The following is a 13,386-nucleotide window of genomic DNA, read 5'->3' as shown; positions in this document are numbered from 1 at the left end:
GTAAAGTGCTACTTTTGTTTATTATGTAAATATACTTTCATTTAAAGAAAATACTGTGATATATAACTGATTGCATGGGTGAGAGGGAAGAGAAAAGAGTGACTAATTGGAATTGTTTAGTAGAGTTGTTATATGTATTTTATTTTACTTGGCAGATTTTTCCCCCCCAAAATGGAATGGTGGTTCACGTTTGCTTTTACAGAAAATCATATTTATAATTGGAATTGTGAAGGAGGTGATCTTAAGGGAAGACGTTTTCATGGCTGAATTAGGAGAAGGTGTTATCTAAATGAGGAATGCCTTAGAAGCTGTACCAGATGTTTTCTGTGTCGGAAGTAGTATCTATGTTTTTATTTGTAAACATGCATTCTTTTGGTTGGATTTATGGAAGACTAACAGAAACATGGGTTTTAGCATTGCGGTCTGGCTGCCTGTGCATCCACAGCTGTAGAGGCCAAGACGCTTCTCTGCCTGCAGGGACTGCCCATCCCTGTTTCTCAGCAGGCTGGAAATAGCTGTGTATTTGTCTTCCTTCCTCTTAGCACAGATACTTCCAGAGTAGGGGGCACAGTCATTCTTAGGTTCAGGTCCATGTTAGGGAAACACATGTGGGTTACTATGACTTTGTTTTCTGCATTCCCAGATGATAAACAGCATAAAATTAGGAATAGGAGAAACTTGGCAAGATTGGACAGTGAGCCAAGTCTTCAGACAACTTTAAAAAATAGGCGCAAATTTTTTCAAGAAGCTTATCAGTTTTTCGGTACTGCTTTTCACAGTAAATAGCGGATAACGGACTGATGTTATGTCTTGTAATGGAATCTAGCTTGGAGTCCCTGGGACAACAAAGTTATGATAAGGGCAGATAAGAGGACGCTTGATTCTTTGTCTCCGTTAGCCATTTGGAGCAGAACGTTTGCATAAATGAACTTTTCTTCTGAAGTGGATCTTGTTTGTAAGAGAACTTACGAAAGGAAGAGGGACATTTTAAGCATGTTTCAAAACTGAGTTGCTGGTGAGGCCACAGTTAGTTTTTAGAGGTCCAAGGGAAATCAGGCAGTGTCTCATCTGTTGTTAATTAATGAAACGAAACTGGAGTCACTAGAGTGCAGCAGTGAATGAAAGGTCAGTGAATGGAAAAAACTGTCAATGAAGGAGGATGTCAGCAGAGTGGAACATTGTCATAGATAAAGATCAGTGAAAATGTGCTCTGGCTGAGGTAGGGTTTTCTGGAAGTGACTGGGAGCCAGTCTGGGACATTTCAAGCCAAACTGAGCACTAAATGAATGTTCTGATTGCAGCTAAATCTGTTAAATATTTTTAAATATTTGTTTGAGTTTGTTCTAGATATCAGTTGAGAAAGATTTGTGAAAAAGAGGCTTCTTTTTGTTTTATAATGTGTTTTACAGTGTAGTGTTGTTTTGTTTGGCTCTTTTGTTTTGAAGCTGAACAATGGTTTCTTTCTCTCCTTTCTGTTCTCTGTCTTAGAACTTTCTAGAGCCACACTTACTTTTGAGGTCCACTGAAATCAAAGTGATCTAGGATCACTGTACCAATTAACGATAGAACTGGACCTCGAACAGCCTGGCTGATGGCTCAGTTTATGATTATTGCAGAATTGCATCTCCTCTGAAAGTTGTTCTGTGGGGGGTGACCTGACAGCCAAGGTCTACTACCAACTTGTAAATGGTGGTCATGAACAAACCAGTGACCATATTTACATTTCAACCAGTTCATCTGTAAACTTTGTTATTGGTGTCATGTGAAATTGCCTTTAAAGAGATTCTCCTTTCTCTGTTCTTGTCGGATCTTCTTCCTTCTCCCTCATTGAAGCCTTTGAGCGATATAGCTTTGGGGAAACAAGGCTCTTCCATCAGTTTGGGAGAGGACCATGGCCTTTTTAGCCTGGTCACAGCTGGGGAGGCCAGGACCCCATGAATATCATCAGCAAGGCTGTCCCTGCATCCAAGGGAGAGTTGAAAGTAATTCCATAGGATTTAGAAAAGTAGACTTATAACCTGGCTCTTCCGGTTATTATATTACGTGATTCTGAGCCTATATTATGTGATTCTGAGCCTTATCTATAAATGGGATTAGTAGTAACACCTATCTCATAGGGCAGCTGTAAGAGTGTGTAAATACCTATAGAGTGCTTAGAGCAATGTTTGTCACGCAGTAAGTGTTCAGTACATTCTAGGATTACATACATTATTTATAAAAATAATCATTTATAAGGTTCAAATGAAATTCAAGTGGTGTTTCCTTGGATTCTCTGTTTTCTCTTTGAGAACATTTATTGGAATATTGTTTTGTTGGATGTATGTATGTATTTTTTTGAGACAGGGTCTCACTTTGTCACCCAGGCTGGAGTGCAGTGGTGCGATCACAGCTCACTGCATCATCAACCTCCTGGGCTCAAACAGTCCTCCCACCTCAGCCTCTCAAGTAGCTGGAACTACAGGAATACTCCACCATGCCTGGCTAATTTTTTCTTTCTTTCTTTTTTTTTTTTTTTTTTTTTAACAGAGATTGGGTTTATCCATGTTGCCCAAGCTGTTTTGTTGAATTTAAATGACAACCATTCCAGGAACTGTTTTAGAGCCAGAATTGAAAAATATATGAAGACAGTTCTTTAGAGAAACACCAGAACTGGCAGGGCGCAGTGGCTCATGCCTGTAAACCCAGCACTGTGGGAGGCCAAGGTGGGTAGATCACTTGTGCCTAGGAGTTTGAGACCAGCCTGGGCAACATAGGAAGGACCCTGTCTCTACAAAAATACAAAAATTAGCTGGGCGTGGTGGTGTTCCCCTGTAGCCCTGGCTACTCGGGAAGCTGAGGTGGGAGGATCACTTGAGCCTGGGAGGCAGAGGTTGCAGTGAGCTGAGATCATGCCACTCCAGCCTAGGCAACAGAGTGAGACCCTGTCTTTAAGAAAAAAAAGAGAAACACCAAAACTACATGTTAATAGACACCACATTAAAATTTAACATCATACAATTTAATTGTAATTAAAATAGTGCCTGACAGTTGTTAGGTTGGGTAGGTGTAAGAAAAGCAAAGAATGATGAGAATCTTTAACATTTATTGTTACAAGAACTACCTTGGGGAAAAAACTCACTTAAATAATGACTGTGTTATTCAATTAGAGAGACTGAAAAGGAACAAAACACGAATAGAAACAAAAGCATAAATTCTAAACAGTGGGCACTTATATACCAATATTGGCTGACCCCCTTTTTTTGAGATTGTCTGTGGGTTGTACTTGTAAGTACAGGAGTTCTGATTGACTCCATTTCAGTAGTTGCTTTGACCCTAGCGTAGCATTTTGTAAGTGTGAATTCTACTAGCTATTAATATATTTTAGGGGGAATTCCATGGTCAGATAAGTTTGGGGAAACTTACTAGACTTCAATAAATGAAACCAGTTTCTTTGAAAATACTTTTTAGAACCTTTAGTAAGTTAACATGTGCTCTGACTCTGCCAGGGAGCTAGGATATACAATATTTCTCTCACTTTTTAGACCGCTATCCTGTCTGTCAGCTTCTTGCAGGACGCCAGTGCTCTGGGGCACACTTTGGGAAGTTAACCTTACAGGCATTCCTTTTTCCACTTTTTGTCTCAGATGAATACTAAGGAGGTGTAGCTAAACAGCCGCAGCTCAAAGGTGGAGGAAGGCCCCACAGATGGCGCTAGATACTGAATGTTTGATCACCGTAACAAAAAAACGGGGAGGCCGAGGTGGGCAGATCACCTGAGGTCAGGAGTTCATGACCAGCCTGGCCAACTTGATGAAACCCTGTCTCTACTAAAAATAAAAAATTAGCCAAATGTGGTGGCATGCGCCTGTAGTCCCAGCTACTCGGGAGGCTGAGGCAGGAGAATCGCTTGAACCCGGGAAGCGGAGGTTGCAGTGAGCCAAGATCGCGCCACTGCACTCTAGCCTGGGCGACAGAGTGAGACTCTGTCTCAAAAAAAAAAAAAAAAAAAGCAATAACCAGTGATACCTCCTGAGTGCTTTACTATACGCCAGGCACAAAATACTTTTGATATACTAACTAATTATCTCAACAACTCTGTGAGATAGGTGTGATCATTATCCTCATTTTATAGATGAGGAAATTAGAGTAGGAGGGGCTTAAGTAACTTGACAAATCAGACAACTAGAAAGTGGTAAAGCCAGGACAGGAACTCAGGTACAAGGGCTTGTGTTCTTACTTCCTCTGCTGTATGATCATGGGGCTTGCCCACATGTGTATGCTGTATGTACCGTGGCTTCTACGTGTGCATGCATGGGGCGGTGTGAGGGTGGTATTCTTGGACAAGAGAACGGCATGGAAATGTGAAATAACAATGAGTTTTATGTGGCTGGAGGTCATCATTGGAAACGGTAAGAAATGAAACTGGAGGCCAAGGCAGGTGGATCACCTGAGGTCAGGAGTTCCAGATCAGCCTGACCAACATGGAGAAACCCCGTCTCTACTAAAAATACAAAATTAGCCGAGGGTGGTGGTGCATACCTGTAGTCCCAGCTACTCAGGAAGCTGAGGCAGGAGAATCTCTTGAACTCGGGAGGCGGAGATTGCAGTGAGCTGAGATCATGCCATCGCACTCTAGCCTGGGCAACAAGAGCAAAACTTCGTCTCAAAAAAAAAAAAAAAAAATGAAACCATGAAACTGTAAGGTGCAGGTATCCTGAGGGCCTGTGACACAAAGGAATTTGTGATTTCTATAATGGATCCATGTATTCTGCCTATCAGATTACCTTAAGAACTTCAGTAAGTGGAAGAGCTTTAACTGCTTCTGTGTTAAAAAATATATAGAAAGACACTTGGTCAGGTTGGAGGCCAGGCCACTCTTTTTACATTCTGCAGGTGGCATAGTTGTCAACTGCCTACCATTCTAACTTGTTGCATTGAGGACCCTGCACTGAGCCTAGACAGTAGAGACAGGCGTCTGGCTGAATTATGCTTGAATTAAACATAATACAGGGCATAATGAAAGATGATTCCCTCTCAACTTCCTGCACTTCTAGCAGTTTTCAAGGGCATATTTTGTGTGTTTCTTGAAGTGGGAGAAAGTCTAATACAATATAACTCAAAGAGATGAAGATAAATACTTGAGTCAGATTTCAGGATCTTGTTCAAGGCTCAGTTAAAAAGGTACTATCTTCTAATAAGACTTAACATGTTATTTGTTGTTTTTTTATTTTTATTTTTGTTTTTGAGACGGAGTGTTGCTCTGTTGCCCAGGCTGGAGTGCAGTGGCGCAATCTCGGCTCACTGCAACCTCCGCCTTCTAGGTTCAAGCGATTCTCCTGCCTCAGCCTCCTGAGTAGCTGGGATTACAGGCACCCACCACCATGCCTGGCTAATTTTTGTATTTTTAGTAGAGACGGTTTCACCATGTTAGCCAGGCTGGTCTCGAACCCCTGACCTCAGGCAATCCGCCTGCCTCGGCCTCCCAAAGTGCGGGGATTACAGGCGTGAGCCACCGAGCCCTGCCTTGTTTTTAAATTTAATGTTAAAAATATACGAGGATCCCGTCATCCAAATCTCCTTGATTCGGACTTAGTGAATAGCGAGGGTTTGAATAGCAAGGCGTATATCTGAAAATTTATCAGAATCTGTTTGGTGTTTGGGTTTGGACAGCAAGGAATATTTAGATTGGAAAGCAAATAACCTTACTCATTTTTTCTTTTCCCGGAGGGAGTGAAAGCACCTCCTTTGGCTACATAGATTTCACTCCATTGAGTGGTGGCAAGACTGTGACTTAGTGAAGGTCATAGAGCAGATCATTGTAAGGACAGGACTAGAAAAAACTGAATTCTTCTAATTCTGAGTTCAGTAATCTTGCCACAAAGCCTTCCTGCACCCTAAGCAATTAGTCTGTCAGCACTTCTTTATAGTGCTTGCTGAGATGAACGGGAGCTCTCCAGACATCAGTGGTAATTATGGAGACCTTGACTAACTGCCCAGGGAATCCCCAGAACTTGATAGAATATTCGTAGGTGGGAGTATGTTTGTGATACCTTTGCAGTAAAAAATTTGTATGGTAAGAAGATTTAAAGTTAGTTGTAGAAAGAATTTTTGACTCGATCAATTTTATTTTGAAGAAGTTGCATTCAGCCTCAGTTTTCATTTCTTACATCCCCATTCTGCTTCTGTGAATTATTGGCTTGGTTACTTGCTACTAACTTTAAATCCTCTTTATGTTTTACAAAAAAAAACATTTGCATGGGGAGTGGGGAGCAAATGTTGTAGGGTATGTGAAGATGAAGAGAATATCTGAGAGAGAGGAGTCATTCATTATAAGTGCCTTCAGGACTTGCCTATCCCCATGGTAGCGTTATAGGCCAGGCCTAGTGCTGGATTATGCTTCAGTCTTAGCATCAGCAGCTGTAGCCAGGAATAGGTGTGCAGTGATATCCACTTGGATTCGTGGGTTTAAACTGTTTGAGCAGTTCACAGAAAGCTGGTTTTTATTTTGTGCGTGGCATAATTTTTTATAATTTTATAATGTTTATTCTTAGGTGGGTTTGCTGAGTTCTCTCGTTGTTTCCCTGGCCTCTGTGAAGGAAAATCCACTCTAGTCCCTACCTGCATTTCTCAGCCTTGCTTACCTGTTGCCAACATTGGGCCAACCCGAATTCTTCCCAATCTTTATCTTGGCTGCCAGCGAGATGTCCTCAACAAGGTGGGTGCTTTGAAAATATCCTTCATTGCTGGGTTTATATTGTTAGCTGGAGAAACAGCAGTTACCCATTATGTCATTTGAAACACACCCCAATCTCAGGAGCTGCTATGCCATTCTCAGTGTGCTCCCCAGGTAACAGTTGCGTCATCTCTTGGAGTGTTAATTTGTTTGATGTTACTTTTTACTGCAGGAAACCTAAATTATTGTCATGTCTACTTGTTCTTAATAGGTCCAAGAGAACTGAAATAGGACAGGATTTTTCAGAAGTTTAGCCTTATATTCTTAGGGTATTAATTGATCTATTATAATTGGGCACTCTCAGGCTGTTAGTTCCTGGATTATCACACATTTAGAAATATATTTATTTATTGCAACATACTAGAAAGGGATGCAGGTTGGGCTTGGATTGAGGAAGGTCCTCATGATGACTGCTGGCTGGGGGTGGGGAAAGGTGTTAAAAAGATGGTGAGGACAAAGGCTGAAACTATGCACTGCCAGCCTCCCTGGGTTAAAGCTCTTTGGAGGAGTTTGGTTGAGAAGGAAGAGGGAAGAGCATGGATTATTGATGAAAAAGACACGGGCCCTACTGGACAAAGCGTGCCCTAATGGAGGAACACATTGGATTGAGTGAGGCCTTTGTATATGATGGTACAAGCAGAACAGCAATAGAACTATAATCTGACTCCACAGCTTGTATGCTCTTAATTAGTAATGCTGCAAAATAGTGCTCTTACTGCGTGGAAAAGTGATTTTTCTCTAAAATCTCTTAATTTACATCACCACAAATTGAAAAAGCAGTCAGAGATCTTAATTCAACTATTGGTGATTTACAAGTGCTATTTTCCTATGCAAAGGGAAGAACCCCTTAACACGTTCTCCTTGAGTAACTAGAAGAATTGGGCTGATTGTAAAAATAAGCTTCCAGACTGGCTTTCTTTAGCACCTGGAAGGCAAGGCTTTCTAGGAGGAAGAAAAATACCCGATCATCGGGTCATTGGGTAGCAATAAGGCATTCTTTTGTGAGTGTGTGTATGTTTAAAACTCCTGCCTTTTCAAAATTTTGCCTCAACACTGTGTTGTTAATATGTCTGCTTTTACTGTGAGATCTGCCGATTTGAGATTTAATAGCTTATGCTTGTACCGAGCCTTTCTGGTGGGGTCACAATGCCTTTGAGTGTGCAGTTATTATTAATTCTTTTTAGAGATAAGCAGGCTATGTTACAGAAAGCAAAATTAATTTCTTAAAGTCCCATGCATTCCTAGGGCAAAGCTGGAGCTGGTTTATTTAATCTTCAGATCAGAAAATAAAATAAAATTCCTAGTTAAGAATCCTGTTTAATCCTGGTAAACCTTAACCAGCCATCAGCAGGTCATTCCACAAGTAATTGTGTTACAGATAGTTTTTGTTACTTTTGACACTCAGTTAAATGACACATTCATTTTGCTGTATACCTTTTTCAGATTTAATAAATATGTTGGTTAAAAAAGGTGACAGCAGTTAAACCAGAATTTGGAGTTGAGGATGGGAAAAATAGTAGTTTTCTTTTTTTAACTCTGGCTTCTAAACATATACAGCACTAAGCAGGATACATAGGTAGATGTATCGAGAGGAAATATTTGCAGTGGGGAGAATGGGTTTGTGGAAGTTTATAGGACAACACCTTGGGCAAGGAGTTATTATAGAAGGCTTGTCAGGAAGCACCCCTAAAATAGATGTATAGACTTTTATTTTTATTCTGCAAGGATGGTGAGAAATAAGAATAAACTATTAAGCTGGATAGCTTTGAAAGCAGTGAATATAAATTTATATTTGTGGCTCACACACTTTGGAATCCTAGCACCTTGGAAGGGTCAGGTGGGCAGATCATTTGAGCTCAGGAGTTTGAGAACAGCCAGGACAACGTGGCAAAACCCCGTCTCTACAAAAATTACAAAAATTAGCCGGGCTTTGTGGCCCTAGCCTGTAGTTCCAGCTACTTGGGAGGCTGAGGTGGGAGGATTGCTTGAGCTTGGGAGGCAGAGGCTGCACTGAGCCCAGATTGTGCCAGTGTACTCTAGCCTGGGTGACAGAGCAAAGCCCTATCTCAAAAAATAAATAAATAAATAAATAAATAAATAATAAAAAATAAAATAAAGAAATGCATGTTTGACCTCTAGGTTCGTTGTTGACAAAAACCTTAGCGTTGAAGGAGATTTCAGAGATCATTTAGTCAGCCACCAGCATTTGATAAGTGAGGAAATCAGTATTCCAAAAATGTTACATGAATTCCCCAACATTATCCAGTTGAGTTTTAGAACTAGATTTGCCTCTTTTTTACAAATAGTATTAACTAACCTATCATCCTGCTGAACTTCGTGATTTATACTTTCCAAGAGAAATAATATGCTTCTTTTTTTCCTAAAGATCTCCAAAAATGAAAATTTTATAATCTTCCCTAACAGTACAGTTCTTTTTATTAAAATTCAGAAGTTGAAGTCTTTACAAACAGTAACCATGAGACCACTAATATTATTAGTGTTTTGTTTTGTTTTGTTTTGTTTTGTTTCTTTGAGATGGAGTCTTGCCCTGTCACCAGGCTGGAGTGCAGTGGCATGATCTCGGCTCACTGCAACCTCCCCCTCCCGTGTTCAAGCAATTCTCCTGCCTCAGCCTCCCGAGTAGCTGAGACTACAGGCACGCACCACCATGCCTGACTAATTTTTGTATTTTTAATATAGACGGGGTTTCACCATGTTTGCCAGGATGGTCTCGATCTCCTGACCTCGTGATCCGCCCGCCTCAGCCTCCCAAAGTGCTGGGATTACAGGCGTGAGCCACCGTGCCTGGCCTATTAGTCTTTTTTTTTTTTTTAAATGAAGTGCCACCAAAATATGTTAGAAGCATGTCACAGAAATTTTCTTGGGAGAATCATAATGTTTCCCATTTAAAATGCTGGGCTTTTTATATTATTGCATTTAACCCTCATAATAGGATTAGGAGATACATTTGCCCTGAGCTAAGTCACTTACCCGAGATTATGTCATGGACTTCAGAGCTAGTCAGTGGCACAGATCAAATGTAAACCGAGGCTGCTGTAATTTTAAGTCCCATGCTTATATTACACCAAAAATGCCCATCTTCTGGAAAAAGGAATTCTCTATAGCAGGCTGTTACGAAGGACTGAAATCTTAAGTCTATTGAGTCACAATGGAGAATTTCTTTCCCTGTTTTTTCTGCAACATCATCTATACCAGTACCGTCCAACAGAAATATAATGCAAGTCACATACATAATTTAAATTTTTCCAGTGGCCTTTAAAAGTAAAGAAATGGGCAAAACTAATTTTAATGTTTAAAAATAACATATTTAACCTAGTATATCTAAAATAGTATTTCAACATGCAATCAGTATACAAAATTACTGAGATATTTTACAGTCTCTTTTTGTACTGAGTCTTTAAAATCTGGTGTGTATTTTATACTTACAGCACATCTCAATTTGGAGTAGTCACATTTTAGGTGCTCAGTAGCCATGTGTGGCTTGTGGCTGCTACCTTATTGGACAGTCTAGGTCTCAGCATGTATTAATTTTTACTGATGTTTTAAAGACATGGTTCTTTTGTAGAAGACCATAAGAGGTCATCGGTACCAAAAACATACTTTTATTTTCCTTTTCCCTCACAACTGTACTTTGTTTCTCAGAGTGTGTTCTTTCATCCTCTAGTCTTTGTACTAGAGCTGAAATGGGAGCAGCTTATTGTACTAAATAAAAGTCATCTGCTGATGCCTAGTTCATATTTGAAATGAGTGGGATTTGAGAAAGAATCTCTGGTTACTCTGTGAAAGACAAAAGTTCTTGATTGCTTTTCTCTCTTATCAGTTACAATTTCAAATGCAGACTTTTGTTCACATTTAAATATATGCAGCATATGACTGACTTACCTATTGGGAGTAGTTATTAAGCAGAACTGTATCTGAGGTGAACCACTGCAGCTTCTTTTCTAAAGGAGCTCTGCTGCCTGCTCCTTCTCCATTTAAATAATCTGCTGTCAACATTTTTTGTATAGCTTCTTATTTCAGCCTCTTAACATGCAAAATTGGTTTTCCTAGGCTTTCTTATTGTTCTGCCTGGTACACAGTAGGAAGACTGACTGCTACATTCTCTGTTGTTTTCTTAGAAGAGTTAGGCAACAAATAGCCTAAACACAATATAGGCTAAGAATGCTTTCAGAGTTTCCAGTGGAAATATATGATCTAGGAACACAAAAGCGTGTCAAAATTATCAATAAAATATTTCTTCAATGTCTATGATGTCACTCTATGTAGAACACCATACAGTGTTCAAGTTGGTTAGACAAGACCTATTCATTAAACAACAATTGACATGACAAGGTGACTACAGTGTCCCTCCCAGTGTGGAAGCAGCACGGCATGATGGTTGAGAGCCAGCTTTAGGGGTGGACAGTTTTGCATCCCAGTTCTCCACCTTACCAGCCATATCACTTCAGCTGTTACTGCATCTCAGTCTCTTTACCTACACGCCACAATAACTCCGGCCTCCTGGTGTTCATGTAACATTCAAATGAAATGGCATATGCCAAGCACAGTTCCTGGTTTATAGGGACACTTGTCATTGTCATCTTAGGGTAGACTATGCAGCCTACTAGGGTGAGTAGTAGATACAGTGTGTTTTGTCGTTTGAGGAAGGCTTGATGGAGTTAAGTAGGACTTGAGGCCAGTTTTGAAGGCAAATGGATGGGCAAATGCAAAATTAGTCATGGAATTGACTTCAGAAAGAAAAATTACAATTCTTTTATCTAGAATTGAAATGCCTGTGGTTATTTAATGAGATCTCTGTCCTCAGCCTCACTGAACAGAGAGAATTTGACCAAACAGAGCAGTTTCATTAAGGCCATATATTAATCTGTTCTCTCTGTACTACTTCACAGTCTGCATCAAAGGATCATAGAACTCATATTTAGAAATTAGTCTGACTGCAGGAGAAAGCTTATTTCAGGGTTAGGAGAGAGAAAGTTTTCAAGGGAGAAAAGTTGTGAATGGAAATCATAATAATAAAATGAAATTTGTCTTGGTTTACAGATAATCATTTTTGAAAGTTTACTCAACTGTGTGTTGAAACTAGAATCACTATTTAAATCCTTAGGGGGAGTATGTCTTCACTTTGCAGATGAACCTCGCCTGCTGTATTCAATGTAATTTCCCTACTTAACACCAATTAGGAGAAAAGACAGTTTGGATTAGTGAAAAATATACATCATGGGCTTTTTTTTTTTTTTTTTTTTGTAATGGCTTTACTGAGATATAATTCATATACCATACAATTTACAAGCAATTTTTACAACAAGATAAAATAAGAGAACTAACATTTCAGGGGACCCTATATTATGTGTCAGGCACTTTATTATCCTCATACTGGCTTTACAAAATACACATCATTAGCCTTATTTTACAGGTGAGGAAATTAAAGCTACCGGAGGTTAGGTAACCTTCCCAAGATCACCCAGGCGATGAGTGGTAATGCGCTGGGCTGTGCTCTGGTTTTTCTGGGGCCGTTACCCATGTACTTTACTTTATTCCGTGCCACACTGAGATTCCACACTAACCACTAATGAATTGTTTCCAAGAAGAGATCCTTTAGGAGTTTGCTTTAATAAATCGATCAGTCTTCTCAGTATGGCATTTGATAAAGTTCTGTAGCTTGGCAGTAAAACTCTTTAGCTTGATATTTAAGACCTTCCAGGACCTAATACCACCTTTTTAGTTCTTACCTCTCCTGTTCTCTTCCTCTGCTCATCCTCTTTCAATGTCTGGACACACTCACCTAGTGAGTGCACCCCAGATATTTCTGTCCTGTCCTTGGTCTTCATTCATTTTCTATACTCCATCTGGAATGCCTCTACCGCCATCTGAGCTTCAGCTGACAATTTTAGTTCCCATTATAAATAGTCTTCTCAGAATCCTTCCCTTTGGTTTTACTCCTGTTTTCCACTGCCATTTTGTTTATCCTGCTACATTATATTCATCGGATACCTCTTTGTATCATCATTATTCGTGCAACTGTCTTACAGTTGCTAGTAGACTATTCATCCCTCAGTGAGAACACTTGCTTTTTTATGCCCCAGAATACCTTGATGCATAGTAAGCCCTTGGTGATTATTTTTCAAAATAAATAGTTATATCCTAATTTGTAACCCATGCAACTTGTATGAAATGTACATGTCCTTAAACATTAAGTAAACACACCTTCTGTTAATTTACTCAGAAAACCTTCTGTTAATGAATTTGAGAATCTAAAATTTTCAACCCAGGAAAAACAGTCTTTTTTAAATTATGAAATGAATGTAAGTTAATGATATTTTACAGTGACTTGTAAAATGAAAATGTGCAAGGAACATATATGAAGGTTTCTCATTAGAAGATGCTAATAAACCAGTTACTAGATACTGATTTTAGTCAGCTTCAGGGATAAGGGTTCGTTCATGTATTCGCCCAACAAATGTTTATTGAGCCTCTACCATGTGCCAAACAGTGTTCTAGGTGCTGGGGGTACACCAGGAAATGAGACAATAATCTCTGCTTTCATTAGCTTACATCCTAGGAGAAAGAAACTTGATAGGAAGCATAATAAATAGGTAAATTACATAGTATAGTACAGTATGAGTGCTATGAAGAAAACAGGGTAAGAGGGCTGG

General features: G+C 39.7%; 1 protein-coding gene across 7 annotated transcripts in view; it reads left to right on the top strand.

Annotated features, from left to right (window-relative positions):
- The window catches only part of DUSP16 (dual specificity phosphatase 16), an 89,582-nt gene that overhangs the window by 55,651 nt on the left and 20,545 nt on the right, over positions 1–13,386 (top strand). For 6 of the 7 annotated variants that reach the window (NM_030640.3, XM_047429568.1, XM_047429570.1 and 3 more), the window contains one exon: positions 6,531–6,694. The exons of the other annotated variant lie outside the window; for it this stretch is intronic. In NM_030640.3, coding sequence (NP_085143.1) covers positions 6,531–6,694 — 164 coding nt within the window. The remainder of the gene's footprint in view (positions 1–6,530; positions 6,695–13,386) is intronic. 7 annotated transcript variants of the gene reach the window in all.

The sequence above is a fragment of the Homo sapiens genome, chromosome 12, assembly GCF_000001405.40.
Source record: "Homo sapiens chromosome 12, GRCh38.p14 Primary Assembly".
Classification (NCBI taxonomy): domain Eukaryota; kingdom Metazoa; phylum Chordata; class Mammalia; order Primates; family Hominidae; genus Homo; species Homo sapiens.
The sequence above is the reverse complement of the archived record's forward strand: the minus strand, read 5'-3'. Positions and strand labels throughout refer to the sequence as shown.